Source organism: Homo sapiens, chromosome 16, assembly GCF_000001405.40.
Source record: "Homo sapiens chromosome 16, GRCh38.p14 Primary Assembly".
NCBI classification, from domain to species: Eukaryota; Metazoa; Chordata; class Mammalia; order Primates; family Hominidae; genus Homo; species Homo sapiens.
This window is the reverse complement of record NC_000016.10, coordinates 46,467,984-46,495,018: the sequence shown is the minus strand read 5'-3', so window position 1 is coordinate 46,495,018 and position 27,035 is coordinate 46,467,984. Positions and strand designations below refer to the sequence as shown.

The 27,035-nt window shown below is 40.0% G+C and overlaps 1 pseudogene across 1 annotated transcript in view; it reads left to right on the top strand.

Moving 5' to 3' along the window:
* Positions 1–25,682, top strand: part of ANKRD26P1 (ankyrin repeat domain 26 pseudogene 1) — a 99,761-nt pseudogene extending 74,079 nt beyond the window's left edge. The window contains exons 13-17 of the transcript NR_026556.1: positions 15,600–15,887; positions 16,476–16,690; positions 19,025–19,253; positions 20,690–20,770; positions 23,091–25,682. The product of NR_026556.1 is annotated as an ankyrin repeat domain 26 pseudogene 1 (transcript). The remainder of the gene's footprint in view (positions 1–15,599; positions 15,888–16,475; positions 16,691–19,024; positions 19,254–20,689; positions 20,771–23,090) is intronic.
* The last annotated feature ends 1,353 nt before the right edge of the window (positions 25,683–27,035 follow it).

Below are 27,035 nucleotides of genomic sequence, written 5' to 3'. Positions count from 1 at the left end.
GAAGCTCTTTAGTTTAATTAGATCCCATTTGTCAATTTTGGCTTTTGTTGCCATTGCTTTTGGTGTTTTAGACTTGAAGTGCTTTCCCATGTCTATGTCCTGAATGGTATTGCCTAGGTTTTCTACTAAGGGTTTTTATGGTTTTAGGTCTAACATTTAAGTCTTTAATCCATCTTGAATTAATTTTTGTATAAGGTGTAAGGAAGGGATCCAGTTTCAGCTTTCTACATATGGCCAGCCAGTTTTCCCAGAACCATTTATTAAATAGGGAATCCTTTCCCCATTGCTTGTTTTTGTCAGGTTTGTCAAAGATCAGATGGTTGTAGATGTGTGGTATTATTTCTGTGGCCTCTGTTCTGTTCCATTGGTCTATATCTCTGTTTTGGTACCAGTACCATGCTGTTTTGGTTACTGTAGCCTTGTAGTATAGTTTGAAGTCAGGTAGCGTGATGCCTCCAGCTTTGTTCTTTTGGCTTAGGATTGACTTGGCGATGCAGGCTCTTTTTTGGTTCCATATGAACTTTAAAGTAGTTTTTTTCCAATTCTGTGAAGAAAGTCATTGGTAGCTTGATGGGGATGGCATTGAGTCTTATAAATTACCTTGGGCAGTATGGCCATTTTCACGATATTGATTCTTCCTACCCATGAGCATGGAATGTTCTTCCATTTGTTTGTATCCTCTTTTATTTCATTGAGCAGTGGTTTGTAGTTCTCCTTGAAGAGGTCCTTCACGTCCCTTGTAAGTTGGATTCCTAGGTATTTTATTCTCTTTGAAGCAATTAGGAATGGGAGTTCACTCATGATTTGGCTCTCTGTCTGTTATTGGTGTATAAGAATGCTTGTGATTTTTGCACATTGATTTTGTATCCTGAGACTTTGCTGAAGTTGCTTATCAGCTTAAGGAGATTTTGGGCTGAGATGATGGGGGTTTTCTAGATATACAATCATGTCATCTGCAAACAGGGACAATTTGACTTCCTCTTTTCCTAACTGAATGCCCTTTATTTCCTTCTCCTGCCTGATCGCCCTGGCCAGAACTTCCAACACTATGTTGAATAGGAGTGGTGAGAGAGGGCATCCCTGTCTTGTGCCAGTTTTCAAAGGGAATGCTTCCAGTTTTTGTCCATTCAGTATGATATTGGCTGTGGGTTTGTCATAGGTCGCTCTTATTATTTTGAGATATCTCCCATCAATACCTAATTTATTGAGAGTTTTTAGCATGAAGGGTTGTTGAATTTTGTCAAAGGCCTTTCCTTCATCTACTGAGATAATCATGTGGTTTTTGTCTTTGGTTCTGTTTATATGCTGGATTACGTTTATTGATTTTCATATGTTGAACCAGCCTTGCATCCCAGGGGTGAAGCCCACTTGATCATGGTGGATAAGCTTTTTGATGTGCTGCTGGATTCAGTTTGCCAGTATTTTATTGAGGATTTTTGCATCAATGTTCATTAAGGATATTGGTCTAAAATTCTCTTTTTTTGTTGTGTCTCTGTCAGGCTTTGATATCAGGATGATGCTGGCCTCATAAAATGAGTTAGGGAGGATTCCCTCTTTTTCTATTGATTGGAATAGTTTCAGAAGGAATGGTACCATTTCCTCCTTGTACCTCTGGTAGAATTCGGCTGTGAATCCATCAGGTCCTGGACTTTTTTTGGTTGGTAAGCTATTAATTATTGCCTCAATTTCAGAGCCTGTTATTGGTCTATTCAGAGATTCAACTTCTTCCTGGTTTAGTCTTGGGAGGGTGTATGTGTCGAGGAATTTATCCATTTCTTCTAAATTTTCTAGTTTATTTGCGTAGAGGTGTTTATAGTATTCTCTGATGGTAGTTTGTATTTCTGTGGGATCGGTGGTGATATCCCCTTTATCATTTTTTATTGCATCTATTTGATTCTTCTCTTTTTTCTTCTATATTAGTCTTGCTAGTGGTCTATCAATTTTGTTGATCTTTTCAAAAAACCAGCTCCTGGATTCACTGATTTTTTGAAGGGTTTTTTGTGTCTCTATTTCCTTCAGTTCTGCTCTGATCTTAGTTATTTCTTGCCTTCTGCTAGCTTTTGAATGTGTTTGCTCTTGCTTCTCTAGTTCTTTTAATTGTGATATTAGGGTGTCAATTTTAGATCTTTCCTGCTTTCTCTTGTGGGCATTTAGTGCTATAAATTTCCCTCCACACACTGCTTTGAATGTGTCCCAGAGATTCTGGTGTGTTGTGTCTTTGTTCTCGTTAGTTTCAAAGAACATCTTTATTTCTGTCTTCATTTCATTATGTACCTGGTAGTCATTCAGGAGCAGGTTGTTCAGTTTCCATGTAGTTGAGCGGTTTTGAGTGAGTTTCTTAATCCGGAGTTCTAGTTTGATTGCACTGTGGTCTGAGAGACAGTTTGTTATAATTTCTGTTCTTTTACATTTGCTGAGGAGTGCTTTACTTCCAACTATGTGGTCAATTTTGGAATAGGTGTGGTGTGGTGCTGAAAAGAATGTATATTCTGTTGATTTAGGGTGGAGAGTTCTGTAGAGTCTCTTAGGTCTGCTTGGTGCAGAGCTGAGTTCAATTCCTGGATATCCTTGTTAACTTTCTGTCTTGTTGATCTGTCTAATGTTGACAATGGGGTATTAAAGTCTCCAATTATTATTGTGTGGGAGTCTAAGTCTCTTTGTAGATCACTAAGGACTTGCTTTATGAATCTGGGTGCTCCTGTATTGGGTGCATGTATATTTAGGATAGTTAGCTCTTCTTGTTGAATTGATCCCTTTACCATTATGTAATGGCCTTCTTTGTCTCTTTTGATCTTTGTTGGTTTAAAGTCTGTTTTATCCAAGACTAGGATTGCAACCCCTGCCTTTGTTTGTTTTCCATTTGCTTGGTAGATCTTCCTCCATCCCTTTATGTTGAGCCTATGTGTGTCTCTGTATGTGAGATGGGTTTCCTGAATACAGCACACTGATGGGTCTGGACTCTTTATCCAATTTGCCAGTCTGTGTCTTTTAATTGGATCATTTAGCCCATTTACATTTAAGGTTAGTATTGTTATGTGTGAATTTGGTCCTGTCATTATGATGTTAGCTGGTTATTTTGCTCATTAGTTGATGCAGTTTCTTGCTAGCCTCAATGGTCTTTACAATTTGGCATGTTTTTGCAGTGGCTGGTACTGGTTGTTCCTTTCCATGTTTAGTGCTTGCTTCAGGAGCTCTTTTAGGGCAGGCCTGGTGGTGACAAAATCTCTCAGCATTTGCTTGTCTGTAAAGTGTTTTATTTCTCCTTCACTTATGAAGCTTAGTTTGGCTGGATATGAAATTCTGGGTTGAAAATTCTTTTCTTTAAGAATGTTGAATATTGGCCCCACTCTCTTCTGGCTTGTAGAGTTTCTGCTGAGAGATCAGCTGTTAGTCTGTTGGGCTTCTCTTTGTGGGTAACCCCACCTTTCTCTCTGGCTGCCCTTAATATTTTTTCCTTCATTTCAACTTTGGTGAATCTGACAATTATGTGTCTTGGAGTTGCTCTTCTCGAGGAGTATCTTTGTGGCATTCTCTGTATTTCCTGAATTTGAATGTTGCCCTGCCTTGTTACATTGGAGAAGTTCTCCTGGATAATATCCTGCAGAGTGTTTTCAAACTTGGTTCTTTTCTCCCTGTCACTTTCAGGTACACCAATCAGACGTAGATTTGGTCTTTTCACATAGTCCCATATTTCTTGGAGGCTTTGTTCATTTGTTTTTATTCTTTTTTCTCTAAACGTATCTTCTCACTTCATTTCATTCATTTCATCTTCCATCGCTGATACCCTTTCTTCCAGTTGATCGCATCAGCTCCTGAGGCTTGTGCATTCATCATGTAGTTCTCATGCCATGGTTTTCAGCTCCATCAGCTCCTTTAAGGACTTCTCTGCATTGGTTATTCTAGTTAGCCATTCATCTAATTTTTTTCAAGGTTTTTAACTTCTTTGCCATTGGTTCAAACTTCCTCCTTTAGCTCGGAGTAGTTTGATCTTCTGAAGCCTTCTTCTTTCAACTCGTCAAAGTCGTTTTCCGTCCAGCTTTGTTCCATTGCTGATGAGGAGCTGCATTCCTTTGGAGGAGGAGAGGTGCTCTGATTTTTAGAGTTTCCAGTTTTTCTGCTCTGTTTTTTCCCCCATCTTTGTGGCTTTATCTGCCTTCAGTCTTTGATGATGGTGATGTACAGATGGGTTTTTGGTGTGGATGTGCTTACTGTTTGTTAAGTTTTCCTTCTAAAAGTCAGGACCCTCAGCTGCAGGTCTGTTGGAGTTTGCTCGAGGTCCATTCCAGACCCTGTTTGCCTGGGTATCAGCAGCGGTGGCTGCAGAACAGCAGATATTGGTGAACCGCAAATGCTGCTGCCTGATCGTTCCTTTGGAAGTTTTGACTCAGAGGAGTACCTGGCCGTGTGAGGTGTCAGTCCGCCCCTACTGGGGGGTGCCTCCCAGTTAGACTACTTGGGGGTCTGGGACCCACTGGAGGAGGCAGTCTGCCTGTTCTCAGATCTCAAGCTGCGTGCTGGGAGAACCACTACTCTCTTCAAAGCTGTCAGACAGGGACATTTAAGTCTGCAGAGGTTACTGCTGCCTTTTGTTGGTCTGTGCCCTGCCCCCAGATATGGAGCCTACAGAGGCAGGCAGGCCTCCTTGAGCTGTGGTGGGCTCCACCCAGTTCGAGCTTCCCAGGTGCTTTGTTTACCTACTCAAGCCTCAGCAATGGCGGGCGCCCCTCCGCCAGCCTTGCTGCCACCTTGCAGTTTGATCTCAGACTGCTGTGCTAGCAATGAGCGAGGCTCCATGGGCGTAGGACCCTCCGAGCCATGTGCGGGATATAATCTCCTGGTGTGCCGTTTGTTAAGCCCATTGGAAAAGTGCAGTATTAGGGTGGGAGTGACCCGTTTTTCCAGGTGCCATCTGTCACCCTTTTCTTTGACTAGGAAAGGGAATTCCCTGACCCCTTGCGCTTCCCAGGTGAGACGATGCCTCGCCCTGCTTTGGCTCCCGCACGGTGCACTGCACCCACTGTCCTGCACCCACTGTCTGGCACTCCCCAATGAGATGAACCTGGTACCTCAGCTGGAAATGCAGAAATCACCCGTCTTCTGTGTTGCTCACGCTGGGAGCTGTAGACTGGAGCTGTTCCTATTTGGCCATCTTGGCTCCCATAAGTTATTTTTTCTTGATGTCTCTTTGTTTAAATCAAATTTTCTGTTTATTTTTTCCTAACAAATTACCCAAAGTTGAGTTGCTGAAAACAACATTTATTTAGTTCAGCCATCTGTGGGTGGGGAAAACTTTGGCCAGGACAGCTTGTCTCCATTCCCCTGAGCTTCACTTGGGATAAATCAGAGGTTGGAGGACTGGAATCCTATGAAGGCATGTTCCCTAACTGTCTGGTTGTTCATGATGGCCATTGACTGAAACTTTAGTTGGGGCAGGCAGCTGAAATACCTTCATTGGAACTCTTAGGCTATCTTTGTGGCCTGAGCTTCCTCACAACGTGGGGTCTAAGTTCCAAGGACAAGCAGTGTGAGGTAGAGGGCCTTTTCTAACTTAATGTTGGAAGACACGTGGTATCACTTTTACCACATTTCTTCATTAGAGGCAAGTCAGTAGGGTTGGCCCACAGTCTACTTCTTTATAGGATAAATTTTTTTCTTCTATTTTTATTATTTATCTATTTATGTATATTAGAAATGGATCTCACTGTGTTACTCAGGCTGGCCTTAAACTCCTGAGCTCAAGGGATCCTTCTGCTTCAGCCTCCCAAATTGCTGTGACTACAGGCATGTTACGCCATGCCTGGCTTTCTTTTATATTCTGTGGTCATGTATATTTGTACATATTTATAGGATACACAGTAATATTTTGATACATGTAAACAACGTATAATCGTCAAATCAGGTTAATTATTATATCAAGCACTTCAACCATTTACCATTCTTTTTTTTGTGAACATTTATAATCCTCTCTTCTAGCTTTCAAAAAAATACAATAAATCATAGTTAATCATATTCACCCTACAATGCCACAGAACACTAGAGTTCATTCTATCTAGTGATAATTTCTTTTCCATTAACCAACCTCACCCCATCCCCCACTCCCCTTCATTTCCCAGACTCTAATGTCCACAGTTCTTTTCTCTACTACCACGAACTCATTTTTAAAAAAAATTTAGCTCCCACATGAGTGAGAACATACAGCATTTGTTCTTCTGTGCCTGACTTATTCTACTTAACATAATGTCCTCTAAGGTCATCTATGTGGCTGAGAATGATATAATTTTATTCTATTTTATGGCTGAATAGTCTTCCATTGTGTACAGATACCACATTTTCTTTATGCATTCATCTGTTGATAAACATTTAGGTGGATTCCATATCTTAGTAATTATAAATAGTGATACAATAAAAATGGCAGTGCTGGTATTTCTTTGATACATTTATTTTCTTTCTTTTTGATAAATACTCAGTAGTGGGATTGTTGGATTGTTTTATAGTTCTATTTTTAGTTTTTAAGAAACCTCCATACTGTTTTCCTTAATGGCTATACTAATTTACATTCCCTCCAACAGTGCATAAGAGTTTCCTTTTTCTGCAACCTCACCAGCATTTTTTACTTTCTGTCTTTTTGATAGTAGCCATTCTAACTGTAGTGAGATGATATCTCATTGCAGATTTATTTCATTTCCTGATAATTACTGATGTTGAGTATTTTTCATATATTTGTTGGCCATTTGTACATCTTCTTTTGAAAAATGTCTATTCAGATCCTTTGCCCACTTTTTAATCAGATTATTAATTTTGTTTTTGCTGTTGGGTTGTTTGAGCTCTTTATATAAGCTGAATATTAGACCTTTGTCAGATGAATAAATTGCAAACATTTTCTTCCATTCTACAGATTGTCTCTTCACTCTGTTGGTTGTTCCCTTTGCTATGAAGAAACTTAAATTTTAATATAGTCTCATTGGTCAGTTTTCGCCTGTGTTTTTGATGTTTTAGTCATCACAGCTTTGCCTAGACCAAGGTACTGAAGCATTTCTGCTATGTTCTCTTCTAGTAGTTTTATAATTTTGGTTCTTAAATTTTCTTTAATCCATTTACAGTAGATTTCTGTATATGGAGAACTATAAGGATCTAGTTTCATTCTTCTGCCTACAGATATCCAGTGTTCCCAGCCTTATTTGTTGATGAGAATGTTCTTTCCCCCATGGATGTTCTTGACATTTTATCAAAAATAAGATGGCTGTAAATATGTGGATTAATTTCTGGGTTCTCTATTCTTTCTGTTGGTCTTTGTATTTGCTTTTATACCAAAACCGTGTGTTGTGGTTACTGTATCCTTGTAATATAATTTGAAGTCAGGTAGACTGATGCCTCCAGCTTTTTTTTCCTCAGGATTGGTTGGCTAGTGTGGCTCTTTTTTGGTTCTATGAGTTTTAGAGTCATTTTTCCTAACGCTGTGAAAAAATGGTGTTGGTAGCTTGATAGGAATAGTGTGGATTGAATTTGTAGATTGCATTGGGCAGTATAAGCATTTTGATGATACTCATTCTTCCAATCCATGAGCATGGATTTTTTTCATTTGTTTGTTTAATTTCTGATTTCTTTTGGCATTGTGTATAGTTCTTCTTGTAGAAATCTTTCATTTATTTGGTCAGATGCATTTCCCGGTATTTTTTTTTTTGTGGCTATTTATAAATGGGATTGTGTTCTTGATTTGGCTTTCACCTTAAACACTATTGGTGTATTGAAATGCTGCTAATATTTCCACGTTGATTTTGTAACTAGAAACTTTACTGAAATTGCTGTCAGATCTAGGAGCGTTTTGACAGTCTTTAGGGCTGTCTAGGTGTACAATCATATCATCTGAAAAGAGAGATAGTTTGACTTCTTCAGTTCTTACTTGGATGCCTTTAATTCCTTTCTCTTGCCTGATTGCCCTGGCTAGGACTTCTAGTACTATGTTGAATAGGAATGGAGAGAGTGGGCATCTTTTTCTTGTTCCAGTTCTGAAGGAAAATGGTTCCAAGGTTAGCCCATCGAGTATGATGTTGGCTGTGTGTTTGTCATAGGTGGCTGTCATTATTTTCAGGTATGTTACTTTGATGCCTAATTTGTTGAATGTTTTGATCATGAAGGAATATTGCGAGTCTACTGAAAGTTTTTCCTGCATCTGTTGAGACGATCATGTGGTTTTTAAGAATTCTGTTTATGTGGTGAATCACATTTATTACTTTGTATATGTTGAACCAACTTTGCATCCCAGAAATAAAGCCTGTCAGATTGTAAAAAAGTGAATTTTGGGTCAGGCACGGTGGCTCTTGCCTGTAATCCCAGCACTTTGGGAGGCCGAGGTGGGTGGATCACGAGGTCAGGAGATCGAGACCATCCTGGCTAACACAGTGAAACCCCGTCTCTACTAAAAATACAAAAAAATTAGCTGGGCATGGTGGTGGACACCTGTAGTCCCAGCTACTCGGGAGGCTGAGGCAGGAGAATGGCTTGAATCCGGGAGGTGGAGCTTACAGTGAGCTGAGATCACGCCACTGCACTCCAGCCTGGGCCACAGAGCGAGACTCCGTCTCAAAAAAAAAAAAAAAAAAAAAAAAGTGAATTTTTGATGTGTTGCAAGATTTGGTTTGTTAATGTTTTGTTGAGAATTTTTGTGTCTATGTTCTTCAGAGATATTGTCCTGCAGTTTTCTTTTTTCACTGCATCTCTTTCAGCTTTTAATATCAAGATGATGCTGTATTCATAGAATGAGTTAGGGAGGAGTCTCTCAAACTCGATACTTTGGAATAGTTTCAGTAGGATTGGTAACAGATCTTCTTTGTATGTCTGGTAGAATTTGGCTCTGAATCCAATAGGTTCAGGGCTTTTTCTTTGGTTACTAGGTTTCTAAATTACTGATTCCATTTCAGAACTTGTTATTGTCTGTTAAGGATTTTAATTTCGTCTTGGTTCAATCTTGGGAGGTTTTGTATTTCTGGGAATTTATCCATTTCCTCTAGATTTCTTAGTTTCTGTGCATAGAGGTGTTCATAATAGTCTTTGATGATATTTTGTATTTCTGTGGGATCCATTGTAATGCCATCTTTGCCATTTCTGATTGTGTTTATTTGAATCTTCTCTATTTTTTCTTTGTTAATGTAGCTAGCTAGCTATCGATCTCATTTATCCTTTCAAAGGACAAACTTTTGGTTTTGTTGATTACTTGTAAGGATTTTTGTGTCGCAAATTTATTCAGTTCTGCTCTGGTTTTAGTTATTTCTTTACTTCTGCTAGCTTTGAGGTTATTTGGTTTTTGTTTTGCTAGTTCTAGTAGGTGCGATTTTGTTAGTTTGAGACCTTTCTGGCTTCTTGATGTCTGTATTTAGTGCTATAATCTTTTTTCTTAATACTGGTTTTGCTGTATCCCAGAAATTTTGGCGTGTTCTGTCTCTGTTTTTATTTATTTTCAAGAGTTTTTAATATCTGTCTTTATTTTGTTGTTTACCCAAAAGTCATTCAGGAGCAAGTTGTTTAATTTTCATATAATTATGTGACATTGAGAGAAATTTTTGGTATGGATTTCTATTTTTATTCCACTAGGGTCTGAGATATTATGCTTGGTATACTTTCAGTTTTTAAAAAATGTATTGAGAGTTGCTTTATGGCTGAGCATGTGGTCGATCTCAGAGTGTGTTCCCTGTGCCGATGAGAAGAAAGTACATTCTGTGATTGTTGGGTGGAGGATTCTGTAAGTGTCAATTAAGTTCAATAGGTGAAATGTTAAATTTAATTCTAGAATGTCTTTGTTACTTTTCTGTGTCAGCAATTTGTCTAATGCTGCCAATGAGGTGTTGAAATTTTTAACTATAATTGGGTGGCTAACTAAGTCTTTTCATAGATCTAGAAGTACTTGTTTTAGAAATCCGATGCTCCAGGGTTGGGTGCCTATATATTTAAAAATATTTATGCCTTCTTGTTGAATTGAGTTCTTTTATCATTGTGTATCATTCTTTATCGTCTTCTTCTTTGTCATTTTTAAAAACTGTTGTTGGTTTAAAGTGTGTTAATCTGATATAAGAATAATGACCCCTGATTTTTTGTTTTCTGTGTGCATGATAGATCTTAGTTTATGCCTTTACTTTGAGCCTATGGGTGTAATTGTATGTGAGTTGGGCCTTTTGAAGACAGCAGATGGTGATTCTTGATTTTCTTTAATCCAGCTTGCCACTCTGTGCCTTCTAAGTGGGGTATTTAGATAATTTTATCCAAGGCTAATATTTATATGTCAGATTTTTATCCTGCCGGGATGTTGTTATCTGGTTGCTTTGTAGTCTCCAATGTGTATTTGTTTATAAGGTCTGTGAGCTATGTACTTATGTGTGTTTCTGTGGTTGCAGGTATTGTTCTTTCATGTCCATGTTTAGAACTCCCTCAAGGATCTCTTGTAGGGCTGGTCTAATGGTATTAAATTCCCTTAGCATTTGCTTGTCTGGAAAAGATTTTTTTCTCCTTCACTTATGAAGTTTAGTTTGACAGGATATAAAATTTGGGGTTTGAATTTATTTAGGGATGCTAAAATAGGCCAACACTCTTCTGGCTTGTAAAGTTTTGCTGACAAGTCTGCTGTTAGCCTGATGGGCTTCCCTTTGTATGTGATCTGACCCTTTTCTCTAGCTGCCATAAGACTTTCACGTTGACTTTTGGATGCTTTTCACTATGTGTCTTTGGAATGACCATCTTGTATAGTATCTTATCGCTGAATTTCTTGAATTTGCATGTCAGCTTCTCTAATGAGATTGGGGAAAGTTTTGTGGACTATATTCTAAAGTGTGTTTTCCAAATTACTTACTCTTTCTCCACAATGCCAATGAGTCATAGATTTGGTATCTTTATGGGATCCCATATTTCTCAGAGGTTTTGTTCACTTTTAAAAATTCTGTTTTCTTTATTTTCATCTGACTGGGTTGATTCATAGGACCCAACATCAAGTTCTATAATTTCTTCCTCTGCTTGGTCTAGTCTGTTTTTGAGGCTTCCAATTGTATTTTGAAATTCCTAGAGTGAGTTGTTCAATCCCAGAAGCCCAGTTTTCTTCTTTCTTAAAATGGCTATGTCATCTTTCAACTCTTGAATTATTTTTCTGGCTTCCTTGGTTAGGTTTCAACTTTCCCGTGGACCTCATTGTGCTTCCTTACCATCCAGATTCTGGATTCTAAGACTATCATTTCAGCATTTCAATCTGGTTAGGATCAATTGCTGAGGAGCTAGTGTGATCCTCTGAGGGTTAGAAAACGCTATGACTTTTTGAATTGCTGGATTTCTTTCACAGATGCTTTCTCATCTGAGAGGGCTAGTGTTTATTTATCTTTTTGAAATTGCTGTCATTTGGATATGACTTCTGGTTTCTATATTCCTATTCTTCCCTTGAGTGTTTGACTGTTGTGTATGTTGGAACAGTTCATTGGTTTAATTTCTGTGTTCTTTCAGAAGGCCTAGGATCTTTATGAATTTCTTTTTCTTTCTTTTTTTTTTTTTTTTTGAGATGAAGTTTTGTTCTTGTCACCCGGGGTGGAGTGCAGTGGTGTGATCTTGGCTCACTGCAACATCCGCCTGCCATGTTTGAGTGATTCCCCTGCCTCAGCTTCCCAAGTCGCTGGGATTCAGATGCCTGCCACTACACCAGGCTAATTTTTTTTTTTTTTTTTTTTTTTTTTAGAAAAGATGAAGTTTCACCATATTGGCCAGGCTGGTCTTGAACTCCTGACCTCAGGTGATCCACCTGTCTTCGTCTCCCAAAGTGCTGGGATTATAGGCGTGAGCCACCGCACCTGACCTCTATGGATTTCTTAGTTGTGGCTAGTTTCCTGCATTGGTTTTCACAGGCTAACTGTGTTTAAGGAATTAATTGTGTTTGGTGGTGTAATTCTGACTTCAATCCCGTAGATGGTGCTTTGGAGTAAGGGCTGGTGGATAGGCTCTTACTCAGCTGCATAACTCTTGTGTATCAGTGTGTTTGAAGCAGGCCTCTGAGGAGGGGGAAACAGTTGGCAGGGAGGCAAGAAATGCCTTTCTCACAAAGTTTGTTCCCAAGCCTTCAGAGAATCCCCTTCAATCACTGGTGCTATACTCCCTCTTTCTTAGCTCCAAAGAAGTCCCTGGACAGCTGCACAGCCCCCATCTTTAAGGCCAGGGATGTTCAATCTTATGGCTTCTCAGGACCACATAGGAAGAAGAAGAATTCTCTTGGGCCACACATAAAACACACTAACACTAACGATAGCTGATGAGCTAAAAAAAAAAAAAAAATTGCAAAAAAAACTCATAATGTTTCAAGAAAATTTACAAATGTGTGTTGGGCCACGTTCAAAGTCTTCCTGGTCTGCATGCAGCCCATGGGCCCAGGACAAGCTTGCTTTAGGGGCAGCCTGAGCCAAAGGTTAGTCCTCCAAATCTCCAGGGACCTGCTGATTCCCCGTGCTTGGAAGAGTCTGAATGGGATATGGGGTATGTCTGCAGGTGTCTGTGGATGCTGTGGGTCAAGGGTGAAGGTCCCCTGGGCAGGTTGGGTGGTGCCATGGGTGTGCAGCTGGTGTGGTACCCACAGCCTGGAGTTTTTTGCTCAGCAGTTGGCTTTGAGGACCATACAACTCATGCTCCCCAACCAGTTTTTCTGTGATGTGTGCTTTTAGGTAAGGCCTGACCAGCTAGTTTTGTCCCAAGCCTTCTAAACCCAAATCTTTGGCCTGATATGTGTTCCAGGCCATAGGTTTCTCTTGGATGGAGTCTGTGGCCATCCAACAGGCTATGCTTTTCCCAGACCAGTCTCGCAGAAGGAGGCACGCCCAGCTCCCATGCCAGCACATGAATCTGTGCCTCACTCTTCTCAGTGTTCTGAGAGTGGGGGTGCCACCCCGACTTGAGCTCAGGCCACAGATACCAGCTTAATACCCCTTAACTGTGCACTCAAACCCTGGGAAGTTGGGATGGGTCTCGTAGCTATATCCTCTGGTACCTCAGCGTCAAGCATTGGCTGTACTGGAGTGGGCAAACTGCTTTCAGGCTGCCAGAAAAACACTCAGGTGGGGGCAGTGGAGGCTGTGCTATGTGTACACCCTTGAGGGAGCAACTAGGCAGGAGCTGGGGAAGGGACCGGCAAACAAGGGGGTGTGCAAATCAGATGCACTCCAGGCCCTTGGAAAAGGCAGCCCTGCTCTCTCCTGGTCAGGCTGTCAGCAGGGGCTAAAGTGACTCGGAAAGATGGAGAGCCTTGGTGGATGGGTGCCTATTCTCATATTTTCCTGCAGCTGCCTCATGCATGAAACCTTTTGGGCTCCATGCATGTTCAAGCTCTGCCTCTTCCTACTCTCCTGGCAGTTCCCCCTGACAATTCAAATGTCTGTGTTTATCATGGGATCTCTTGTACCTAGGATCTCAGAGGTCCCTGGCAGGATTGTGTGACCCCTAGTTCCTTCACTCTCTCCTTCCGTAGGTCCAATTCTGGACCAAGAGCTGGTCCTGGTGATTGGTGACTCCATCTGGCTTCCTAGTTTCCTTCCTCTTCAAACTCAGTGTCTGCATTGCCTCTCTATTGACTTTGAGTTCTTTTTCCCCCAAAATCTGTTCAAAGTGTGATGGTTTACTCAATATTTTGTTTTCTCTCTGTGGAAGAGGTATTTCTGGCTGCATCTGGTTGGTCATCTTGTTCCCCAGTTAAAAATGTAATTGATATTTTGATATGGTTTGACTCTGTGTCCCAATCCTAATCTCATCTCAAATTATAATCCCCATGTGTGGAGGAAGAGACCTGTAATCCCCACATGTCAAGGGAGGGATGTGATTGGATCATGGGGACAGTTTCCCCCATGCTGTTCTCATGATAGTGAGTGAGTTCTCACGAGATCTGATGGTTTTATAAGGGGCTCTTCCCCCTTCACTTTCTCCTCTCTCTCCTGCCACCATGTAAGATGTGCCTACTTCCCCTTCTGCTGTGATTGTAAGTTTCCTGAGGCCTCCCCAGCTATGCAGAACTGTGAGTCAATTAAACCTCTTTTTAAATACATTTTACCCAGTCTTGGGTAGTATCTTTACAGCAGTGTGAAAATAGACTAATATGTATTTTAATAGTGATCATATTTAACCTGTAGACTCCTTCAGATAGTATTTTAACAATATTAATTATTTAAATTCATGAGCATGGGATATATTTCCATTTGTTTTTGTCCTCTACCATTTCTTTCATCAGTGTTTCATAGTTTTCTTGCAGGGGAGCTCTATCACTTCCTTGGTTAAATTTGTTCCTGAGTAGTATTTTATTATTTTTTAGCATTCGTAAGTGGTATTGATTTCTAGTTTTATTCCATTATGTTTGAGAAGATACTTGATATGATTTTAAGTTTTTAAAATTTGCTAAGACTTGTTTTCTGGCCTAATATATGGTCTATCCTGGGGAATGTTCTATGTACCAATGTGAAGAATGTGTATTCTGTAGCCATTTGATGAAATGTTCTAAGAGTTTGTTTGAGGAGTCTAGGTTTTTTATGTATAGGATCAGGTCATGTACAAAGAGAAATTTCGATTGTTCTTTCCCAATTTAGATGCCCTTCATTTTTTTTTCACCCAGTTGCTCTGGCTAGGACTTCTAATACTGTGTTGAATATGAGTGCTGAATGTGGGTATCCTTGTCTTATGCCAGTTCTTAGAGGAAAGACTTTCAGCTTTTCCTCTTTCAGTGTAATGTTAGCTGTGGTTTTGCCATATATGGCCTTTATTGTGTTGAAATATGTTCCTTCTATGCCTAATTTGTTGGAGTTTTTATCATAAAGATTCGTTAATTAGAGTCTTATATTCAAGTCTCCTTCTCAGAGTGATTTATTGGCTTAGGTCTGGATAATTTAATATGGTGTCCCTAAAACTTTTTTAGAAATTATGGGGAATGACAAAGGGTATGAGGGGGCAAGAGACTTTGTACTAAGAAGTGACTTAGACTGAGTGTGGTGGCACACGCCTGTAATCCCAACACTTTGGGAGGCCGAGGTGGGTGGATCACAAGGTCAGGAGTTCGAGACCAGCCTGGCCAACATGGTGAAATCCCGTCCCTGTTAAAAATACAAGAAATTAGCTGGGCATGGTGTCAGGTGCCTGTAATCCCAGCTACTCAGGAGGCTGAGGCAGGAGAATCACTTGAACCCAGGAGGCGGAGGTTGCAGTGAGCCGAGGCCATGCCACTGCCCTCCAGCCTGGGCAACAACAGTGAGACTCCACCTCAAAAAAAAAAAAAAAAAAACAAACCAAAAAAAAAAAAAAAAGAGAAGTGACTTGGAGCAATTTTAAAGAGGAAATACATTAAACAATCAGGAAAATGAAAGCCTACTATCACGTAAAAATGTTGTGTGGCAAAGATGATGTGTGTAAAACATATATTTTTGTGATTCCTGGTGGTTTTAAATTTGTTTTTGATTTTCTAGGTAATTCAAGGATTCATGTTTTAAGAATCTACTGCAGTATAGATAACATTTTATTGCAACTGAATTTATTTCAAAAATGATTAGTTTTATATTAGACTATTCTGTCTTCTTTCTTCATTACCAAACCATATTATTTTACTCATGCAGGCTGATCTTACAGAAGCAGTGGAAACTGCATCTTCAGAAGGTCTACATGTGAATGCAGAGATTGAAGTTCTTCAACAGGCATTATTATATATGAAAACAATGCAAGAGAAACGTGAAACACTACAGAAGGATCAGGAGAAGTTGGAAGAAGAACTAGTAAACCTCAAAAGTCACATGGAAATGAATATGTTAGAATGTGGTCAATTGGAACACTATAAACAGGAGGTAGAAGAAAGAGCAAGGCAGGAGATAGCAGAACAATTAGAAAACATTGGTCTACTTTTACAGGTTAGTTTATTATCAATAAGGTGCCTTCATTCATTTCAGTGCAAATTATATTTGGGATACATACATTGTATGTGTTTCCTCTACTTCTCTTGTAGCAATTTGTTTGGTAGATTTCTAGAAGGAAGGTGGTATCTGTTTCTCTCTTTAAATATTTCACTTGCCGTCATTATTGTAACTAAATTGATCTTCCATAATAATGATTCTCATTAGTGAATCATTTGATTGCTAAGACAAGTGGCATAAAACAAGACTAACAGAGGAAGAAAAATGTGATTTATAAATTATACTATACTCTTGAAGTATTCTTAAGTTATATTGCTCAATTTTTCAGAATTTAAATTGATTTTATTATTCTTTGGAGTGTTACATTTCATGAGTACTACCATAAGCATGATTTCATTTTTTTACAATTCAGATTAAATTATTAATTTAGTTGATACTCATAATAAATATATTAAACTTCAGTTGCTTTTTTCACATACTTAGAAATGCTCTCTAGATCACCGACCCAAAACAAAAAGAAACAAATACACAATAATTATTCAGGTTATAATTATTTGTTTAATGTACCCTTTCAATTTGTTTTAGTCACAGAAAATAGCTCATGACCAGTTACAGTTAAAAGAGGAAAGCAATGCTACTATGAAAAGTCAGATGGAACTTAGAATTAAAGATCTGGAATTCAAACTCTACAAAGCAAGAACTTCACAAGCGGACTGTAATACAACAGAATTGGAAAAATATAAGGAGCTGTATCTAGAAGAATTAAAACTTAGAGAATCTTTGTCAGATGAACTAAACAAGTAAGTCAAAACACAGAATCACAGAAAAGAAATGAAGCTCATTAATTTGCCTCAAAAGCATAATTTTTAGTGAGACAGGTTTATGAGATTAGGGGGAAGCGAAAGCTAACTAGATTAAACAATTTTGGAAAATGATGTTAGTAAATGAGCTTACCTTTAAAATGTTAATCCACGGGTGGCTCACCTGAGGTCAGGAGTTCAAGACCAGTCCGTCCAACATTGTGAAACCCCGTCTCTACTAAAAATACAAAAATTAGCCAGGCATGGTGGCACGCTCCTGTAATCTCAGCTGCTTGGGAGCCTGAGGCAGGAGAATTGCTTGAACCCAGGAGGCGGAGGTTTCAGTGAGCCGAGATCACCCCATTGCATTCCAGCCTGGGCGACAGAGTGAGACTCCATCTCAAAAAAAAAAAAATAAATAAAAATAAAAATAAAAAAAGTTAATCCAGGCCAATTCATGTCACTCCCCTGTTTTTGATTGTGTTTTTTGGTTTGTTTTGTGTGTTGTTTTTTTGAGATGGATTCTCACTCTGTTGCCTAGGCTGGAGTATAGTGGCACAATCTCTGCTCACTGCAACCTCTGCCTCCCAGGTTCAAGCAATTCTCCTGCCTCAGCCTCCTGAGTATGACCTGTCATATTCTCACCACTCCTGGCTAATTTTGATATTTTCAGTGGAGCTGGAGTTTCACCATCTTGGCCAGGCTGGTCTTGAACTCCTGACCTCAAGTGATCTGCCCACCTCAGCCTCCCACAGTGCTAGGATCACAGGCCTGAGCCATCGTGCCTGGCCTGTTTTTTGGTTTTATATGGCTCTTTATCCCCTTAATATTCTTATTTAGTTAACCTGATCTGTTAGTCTTTCAGCCAAGTATCTTTGAAGCTTCATAATTTAGACAGTGATATTGTTACACAATTGCTTGTCAACATTCCCCTACAAGAAATATTAATGAATTTAATTATTTTTTATAAGATTACAACTTAAACTGAAAAAGGGTCAGGTACTTCTACTCCTCTGCACATTCTGGCACTCAGTAAATTAACTGTCATTGATTGCGATCTTTGGTATTATCATTAGAGGCCACCTTGGAACAAAGTATTTTGTATAGTTTTTCCACGCCACATAAGGGCATACTTGTGAATTAGAGAATAATTAACACAGGGTTGAAAGGAAATATAATTCACAAAGTGGTGAAAAACACCACCTTGGTCAGCCTGAGGTGGTGGGTGGAAGTCCAAAAGGGCAGGCCCCACTTCTGATGCCTGGGTCACAATTTTAGGAGTAAATCACCTTTGGAGATGACTGAGTTCTCTTTGATCTCGGCTATCTCCTTCTCCCCAGGGAATTGTTGTTCTGAATGATTCCCCAGTGCCAAATGCTTCTCAAATAATGGGTGAAATGTACAAGGGTGGTAAGAAGAAATGCTTGAAAGTGTCTTTGAGGGATAGTTTTTTTCTGTAACTGGCTTACTGAATACAAGTATTTCTAGCTTTATTTTACTTTTAGTTATTTCACCGGAGTAAAATATTTTTGGATTTATATTTTTGGATATATTTTGGTACTCCTATATATTTAAGGAGTAACACATGATGTTTTAATATATTTATACATAGTCAAATGGTGATTCTAGTCCAGCAAATTAACATGTTTATCATTTCATGTAGTTCCCCTTTAAACAAAAGTATTTATTTGCTTTTTTACTTTTTTTTTTGTCTTGAGATGGAGTTTTGCTCTTGTCCCAGGCTGGAATGCAGTGGCACGATCTCGCCTCCCGGGTTCAAATGATTCTCTTGCCTCAGCCTCCCAAGTAGCTGGGATTACAGGCACCCGCCACCATGCCTGGCTAATGTTTTGTATTTTTAGTAGAGACAGGGTTTCACCATGTTGGCTAGGCTGGTTTTGAACTCCTGACCTCAAGTGATCCACCCCTTTTGGCCTCCCAAAGTGCTGGGATTACAGGTGTGAGCCACCATGCCCAGCCTAAATGCAAGTATTTCTAATGGCATCCTTAAGAATCTTATAAATAGAGCCATTTCAGAAGACAACAAATGTCACCTGTTAATCCGTACATCATTGATAGCTTTTGCTCTTCCCTCCCTACTTTGTTTGAATTACTTGTTAAAAATCCTCTAGGAGTACATGTACTTCTTTAGAACAATTTTAAAATTAAAACTGTGTACGATACACGTGCTCTCATACATTTTCAGAGTTAAAACATGGTTTGTGGTATCTTTCATTGACTCATGGTGACTTTTTAAACAATGCAAGTCATTTAGACATAATTTGTAAAAAAAACCCCAAAATACTCAGTATCTGTGTTTTGCAATCTTCATAGGCGTAAAGAAATTCTAGCAGATGTCAGTACCAAACTTCTTCAAGAAAAAGAGTGGAGCAGATCTTTATTTACTTCTCATACTACAAGGCCAGTCCTAGAGTCAGCATGCAATGGAAATCTTAATGAAAATTTAGGTCTCAGCAGAATACATATTCCAAGAGAAGCCTTAAGAATTCCTACCTTAAACTCATTGTCTTCAAATATCAGAATGGAGAGCGACTTGTCAAAGGTTAGGTGTAGCATCATTTTTTCTTTCCTTCTCAGACTTCTGATATAATTCTTGTATTTTTTTGGCAAAATATTCAGTTGTCTGGTTGACTTATGTATTTTAAATAAAGGTCATAATTATCTGTGTTTTTAAGGAAAGGAAACAAACTTTACAGCTTTTTTTTAAGTCCTTGGAGCTCTCGTTGTCAAGAGATATTCATTTGTTAACTTTGTTCAATAAATGTAACTAAACTGGCACATTTTAAATTTCTGTAAAAATTGCATTTAAATTAGATTTTGGAAATTGAATGGTATTGCCTAACAACTAAAAGTATACTTTGAGATGCTTTGGCTTACTTTCTAATTGATTTTAGTTTGGCTTGGGTTCATAATGTTTTTAAAGTTTTCCTGTAGCATCTCAAATTTCCCACTTCTAGTCAGATGTAAATGATTGATATTCAAACACCTAACCACATATGGATGATTATTATGTAAAGGAATCCAGGATAAATACTTTTTATGAATTCTATGAACCTGTAACACTGAAAAAGATTTCTTCTGTTTTTCAGTTTAAAGTTTTGTGATTTTCTTACATGAATACATCCTTAATTGCTATTGTACTTTTAGCATTTTAATATCAATTGTTGTAAAATGTGCCCGTTGCTGTGCAATCGTACAGCAATTTTTAAATACTTAAAGCAATATTTGAATTCGTAAAGTGAAGTTCACTTATGTCTATCTTACCATCACTTGAATGATTTATGGCTAAGATGGCAATGATATCAAAAGTAGTTAAATAGCAAATGTGACCAAACAGAATCCATTCTGTTCTTCCTACTCAGAATTGCATGTAAAACTGCACAGGGTTCCCATCTCCCTGGGACATGACCCTTTCAATGTTTCAAGGTTCAATTGAACAAGAACCTTGCAATCCAACTGTTAGGGTAGACAGTTAGTCAGATATGAGCAGGCAGGAGCAAAGGTAGCTATGTGGGAAGAAACGCCCCAAAACGACTCTTAAGGTGCTCAGTGATCACTCATTCTATGGTTGAACTGTCAGAATGTGTTAACTACATTCAGATAAAGAAGGGGAAAGGCAAAAGGGGAATTCTTAAGAGCTGCATGGAAACAGTGAGTACAAATGTGATGGCTATACAACTTTCCTGGGTGGCAGTAATGAGCAACACCACCATTGGGTAGAATTTGTCTTGATCACTGGGTTCTGCACATGTGCATTAACCAAGAGTAAGGGAGGGTCCCCCAAGCCTGGGTGTGAACTGGGCAAGAACACAGGCAGGAACCCAAAGAAGAAAGTGAGGAAAAAGATCAAATGCAGAATGTATTGGAGCTGCTTCCAGCCAAGTTGGCCCACTCTTCTCTTAAAGCGTACTGTCACTTCTGCAATACATTTTTTGCTAGATTTACTAACTGATCTTTTGGCTGAATTCTTTCTTGCAGGAAGACAAGAATGGAGGACACTTTCTGGAACTCCAGGCTTGACAACATCTCTCGGTGTTGTGACTCGCATCCTGTTGTGAGGTAAGGGCTATGCTCCCTGCTGTCTCCTCTCACATGTCTGCTCCTATCCAGCATAGACTATGAGAATGCTGAGCATGCCGATCAAGCTCCCTGGCATCTCTGCTTTGTGTGCTAAGCTGGAGCATGTCCACCTAATGCCCAACAGAGCCCCTCCAGGCACAGAATGCTTTCTTCTTGACAGAGACCCTAAGGCTTCTGATCCCTTCCACATTCTCACAACTGACTTTCGGGGACTCACCACCCTGTCTTTCCTCACAGTTGGTCCTGCTGCCTATGCCATCGCAGCATCTCTCTTGCTAGCCAATGCCACCTACTTTGTCCTCTCTCTTCCCAGATAAGCTCCAATAGAGTGACTTTTTGAATGCTCTGTCACTGTCTCCTCTGAACTAATTCCACCTCCAGAAGGAATTTAGGTAAATTTTGGGTGCTGTGGTCTCGGTCTAGGGGTCTCCTGGATGTGGCTAGTACCCAATATTCTTTCCATGTTCTTACCACTGAATTCTCCGGGATTTACCAATCAACTTCCCTCTTGTCTCTGGCCCTCCGCACTGGCCTTGACATGCTTTGCCTGTATGCAGAGGGTTATCACAAAAAGCTATGAAATTATAATTAGGCACAGTCATCTATAATTAGAGGTGAGACCTATGGACCTGGGGGGTCAACAGATCAAATGAGAGAAAGAGGTCACTGCTCGGTTGGGAGCATGCAGTAAGGGTGCATGAAGTGTGAATCTCCTCACAGGCTAGGGTTGCATGGCCTAGTGTGGGAAAGAGATGGAGAGGATGCTCTTCCCGTTTCATAATGGATGAGAATGGACAGAGAGCGAGGATGCTCACTCTCCCCTGGCCTTTACTTCTCTCTGTTTTTCAGACGGACATTCAACATTCCACGCTGTAGGACTCACTCCTTGGATGCATTCTCAAAAGTTAGGACAAGATTGATCCCCAGACATTAAAGAAAAAAGATAGTAGTTTTCTTTTGTAACTCTGCATGGCCTCAATACAAAGCTATGTGACTGTAGGAAGGCTGGCCAGAAAATGGTAGCCTTAATTTTAATACCATCTTGCAGTTGGACCTACTTTGCAGGTCACAGGGTAAATGGTCAGAGGTACCCTATGTCCAGGCCTTTATGGCTTTAAAAGAAGATCAGAATCTCTGCCAAAAATGCAAACTAGACCCTGCTATTTTGGCTCTTGTGAGCCCCTCAGTGGATAATTCTCCTATAAATGGCTTAGGAAATTTCCCAGCAGAGCATCCTCAGCCTCCTTTAATTCATCCTCCCACTGAGGATCCAAAGCCACCAGCCCCTTGTACTCACCAGAGGAATAGGAATGGGCACTGGGACACGAGGCCCTGGAGGCTGGTATCAACTGAGAGAGGTCCTACATCTGCCTTAAAATGTTCAATGGAAAGTTAGCTATGTTTTGCATGACTCCTGCCACTTTGGCAACAAAAAGCTTTCAATAATGTGCAAATGGCTCTTTTGGGGAATAAAACTCTTTCCAAGACTCTTGAACAAGTTTGCAGGGCCTGTGCCCTTTGCACATTAAACATCCCACAAGGAGCCAAACCTTTTCTTTTCCAGCCAGTCCAATGGAGGAGTACTTATGCTGGGGAGGACTGGCAGTTTGACTCAAACCAACTTCCTGCCTGTATAAAATATCTTCTGATCTTTGTAGACACCTTTCCAGGTTAGATAGAAGCTTACCTGTGTGAATGGAAAAAGCAGTGGGGGTAGTAAAGGCCCTCCTCATGGAGGTCATCCCCCGGTTTGGCATTCCCAGGTCGCTGCAAAGTTATAACAGTACATCCTTCACCTCACAGTTTACTCAACTTGTTTCTCGGGACTTGGGAATCAGTTACTTTCTACATTCCTCTTGGCATCCACAACACTCTGGAATGGTTGATAGAATTAACCAAACTCTCAAGCAAACCTTGGAAAAATTATGCCAGGAAACCTCAAAGCCATGACCAGAGCTACTACGTATTGCTCTACTAAGGCTGAGAAACATACCCACCTCTAACTTACAACTCAGTTCTTCCGAGTTATTATGTGGAAGATCCTTTCTTTGCTTTCCTGTTGGATACTGAAACTTACCAACTCACTAATTATGTTACTTTCCTATCCCAGTCTCAGCAGGGGGCTCAAAAACTAGGCCAAAAGATATTTTCACATCGTGAAAACTCTGACCAAATTTTATACCCTCCAAGTTGATGAGAACTCAAGTTCTCATCAAGACTTGGAAGTATGGAACTCCAAACTCTCAACTGAGTTTTATTTGGAGAGGTCCTTATACTGATTTGCTCTCCGCTCCTACAGCAGTTATGGTGCCAGGGATCACCAGGTGGGTCCACTATTCCAAGGTAAAGCTGTATGACTCATCTCTGGCAGAGGAAGTCGTAAAGGTCCCACTGGACACCTGGACCACTGAGCCCCTCCAGGGTCTCAAACTCCTCTTCAAGCAAAGCCAAAAGAATAAAGATAAGTAAATTAGTAATGCTTTGGATTGTTATACCATGAATCGTAATACTCCTTGCAGGTTTACTAATATGTCTTTGCTACTGTGAACCAATACCACCCCCCACCCACTGCCAGGAAAAGGTCTGTTCTTCCCTACCTGGATTTAAATCTCAAAGCAATAATCTGGGTGGTGTTCTCTCTAATACTCACTGAGTTAACAAGTTCTTTTTCCATAATCAACAGACATCTTGATTTGGCTCTAATCTGTTCTTGTTGGGACCATGCAGCCAAATGCTCTATGCTCACTAATGCTTCTAGCTAAAATCACCCTCATAGGCCCCAACAGCCCACAACTATATATAAAAAAAAATCTACAAGAAGCTCAACAACTACCGAAGTTCACCAAATCTTCCTATCCCTCAACCTATGGGCTAAGCATGAATTATTTCTATCCAGGGCAGGAACAGCCTACCCAGCCACGATACAAGAATAGAAAACTTCTCAAGCCCAGTTTAGCTTCACCTATCACTGAGGCTTCTCTATACAAAACCTTCCCAGAGATGCATACAGTACCTAACACAAGCAAAGGGGACTTTCAGGCTTTTCTTAAGCCCACTTGCACTATTTTAGGCCCCTTGTTTTCCCCCTTCACCATCAGTCAGGTACTCCTAGGCATCACTACTGCCACAGATTCTGGAACTTTGGTGGGTTCTCTCAACCCTGCGCACTGCAACACAACCATCACCATTGTCAATACCTCTCATACTTCTTTTTTTCTAGAAACTGAAATCTCCCAATACCAAGTAAGGTTCTCTACCTTACCAAGCCAGTAGTGGTCATGCAAAAATTTCAAATCTTTAACTCCCTTTGGAGGCTCTTTTCCTTGACATTACTAGACACATGCTCTTCTGGGAAAATAAGAACCATCCTCCTATTCAAACTACTCACTCATGTCTGGCTCCCCTAGCAGCTGCAACTTTAGTGACAGAATATCACATCTTGCGTAGCCAACAATGGTAATGTTTGGAATTGACCTTGCCTCCTTCCGTATCCATTCTTGTCTACGTATGACAGAACTTTGTTTTCTATGTGGGACACAGGCCCACCTCTGCCTCTCTGCAAACTGGACCAGAACACGCATGCTGGCTTACCTCACCCCTAGCATCTCATTGCCCCAGGTGATGCTTCTCTGCCCTTGCTCTTATTTATAACCTCACACTGGGGCCCACCAAGCAATTCAATTAATTCCCTTTCTCGTTGGGCTTGGCATCACCACAGGTGCCATGATGGGAATAGCCAGCATTGGCACTTACTCCTGAACCTACCACAGCCTGTCTCTGGAATTGGCCCAAGGGATAGAAACGACTAGTTGCTGTAACAGAGTTACAGTGGCAAGTCAGTTCTCTCGCAGCTATAGTTCTCAAACATGGTAGAGGTCTTGACATGCTGGCTGCAGCTCAGGGAGGAACTTGGCTGTGCTTGGAGAAGAGTGCTGATTTGGGTTAAGAGATCAGGGCAGGCTCAGGAGCACATTTGAGATCTCATAAACTAGGCTTCTCACCTTTGGGAAGGGGCTACTGGGGTGTCACCTGGTTCTGATTCTCATGGCTCCTCCCCTTCCTGGGACCCCTGACCTCTATCTTCCTTCTTCTCTTTTCTGGGTCTTGCTTCTTGAATCTACTAAGTAAGTTTATTTTATCCCATCTAGACGCCGTCAGACTTCAAATGGTCTTGTGACAAGGATATCAACCTCTTTCCTGCCCTTGAGGACAACCAAGTTTCTGTATGTCTCCTCTGGACACTGTGGGTCAAACCTTTTGAGAGACAACAACAACCTCTGAAACCCTCTTGCCATGACAGCAAGCAAGGAGGAGGGACCAGAAGACCCTCGACGCCCCTTTTCAGCAGGAAGTAGCTACAGAAGAATGACCTCCACCCTATTTCCCAAAAGATTTCTGGGTCCCAACTCCTTAAGGAATAAACGTGAAAGGGGGCAGTTAGTCAGATATTAGCAGGCAGGAGGGGAGGTACCCATGTTGGAAGGAACAGCCCAGACCACCTCTTAAGATGCCCAGTACTCACTTTATGGTCAAACTCAAAATGTGGCTAACTAGATCCTGATAAGGGAGAAAAAAGGCAAAAGCAGAATTCTTGAGAGCCACACAGGTGCAATGAGTACAAATTTGATGGCTATATGACCTTCCCGGGTGGCAGTAATGAGCAACGTCCCCATCGGGTGGAATTTGTATTGATCACTGCGTCCAGTGCATGTACATGAACCACAGTAAGGGATGATCCCCCCAAGCCTTGGTGAGAACTGGACAAGGAAAGAAGCAAGACCATAGAATATCGAATGCAGAATGTCCCGGGGCTGTTTCCAGCAGGGTCAGCCCACTCCTCTGTTGGAGTGTACTTTTACTTCCCCAATAAAACTTTTGCCTGCTTTACTAATTGGTCTTTTGAGTGAATTCTTTCTTTGAAGAAGACAACCAAGAACACTCTGGATCACCCCAGATAGGTAACATCAACATGCGACTTCACTCATAGTAGGAGTCCATTTCTGGGAATCTCAAAGTGAATCCAATAATGACAAGGTATATCAATTATAGAATTGGTAAGGAAAAAAATAGTTCAACTATGTTTGACTTATTTTAAGAACTTTGTCTAAGGTTTGACCATCTTTCAACCACTGGAAAATTACAAAAACTGGGTGCAATGGCACACAACTGTAGTCCCAGCTACTCCAGATGCTGAGGCAGGAAGATTGCTTGAGCCCAGGAGTTCAAGGTGGTAGTGTGAAATGACGGTGCACTGCAGCCTGGGCAACATAGCGTGACCCTGTCTCTTGAAAAGATTACAAAAATTATAAAATATTTGTTTTAACAAAAATAAATAAGTAAATTGTAACTAGTTTTTTGTGTCTCATTGTCATTAAAAATTCAGTCAATTCACTTTGGCTTATAGTTTTGATGGTGTTTTTATGATCTTAATGCACAGAAAAGTAATAATAGACCCATGTTAAATGAGGCCTTAACCTTCTTTCTTTATCTGGGTTCATGTCCCAACACATCACAGAAGAGCAGATCTAAAGTTTTTAAGAAAGCATTGCAGCCAAATAGCTTAAAAGAGAACAAATTAAATGCTTGTTTTAATACATAAATTACAAAATCCTAGTTGCTGATTTTAAAAATCATATTGTTAGTTTTGTTTTACTTTTCTGCAAAAAGATGATGAGAGTCTAAGTGCTTCAGAATCATAAAATTCTGCCACTGGGTACAAGAAGAAAATGAAAAATACTTCTGTAAACTGTTAAGCACGATTTAAATATAAATGTTCTAATTAGTTTTTACCAGCAAAATTGGGTAATATATCATTTCACAAGATGACAATGAAAGAGGGTATAAATGCAGATGTGGTGCCAGGGAAGATTTTTGAGTCAAGGGCTGTTTATTTTTAGTATTTCTAGTAAGTTGAAAAATAGTTTATTTTAAACTTAATGTATAGTTCCAAGGCAGATTTGGTTCCCCTGTTGAGATACTGGTTTGCCAAATCATGTTAGACTTAATAAAAGAGATTAAAAATCATTCAAGATACAAAGACGTGAATCCGTAATCACTACAAGACACCTTGAAAGAGTTTTAATATAGTTGCCATCTACAAAATTCTTAAGTTAAAGAAAGAAGATGCCTTCTAGAGTTGCTAGAAAGTGTAAGTTGATTTCAAACACTGATGAACTTTCTGAATGTCTCTTCCATGTTGGATTTTACTATGATATCATTTTCAAACAGTTAAAAGCCACTTTTT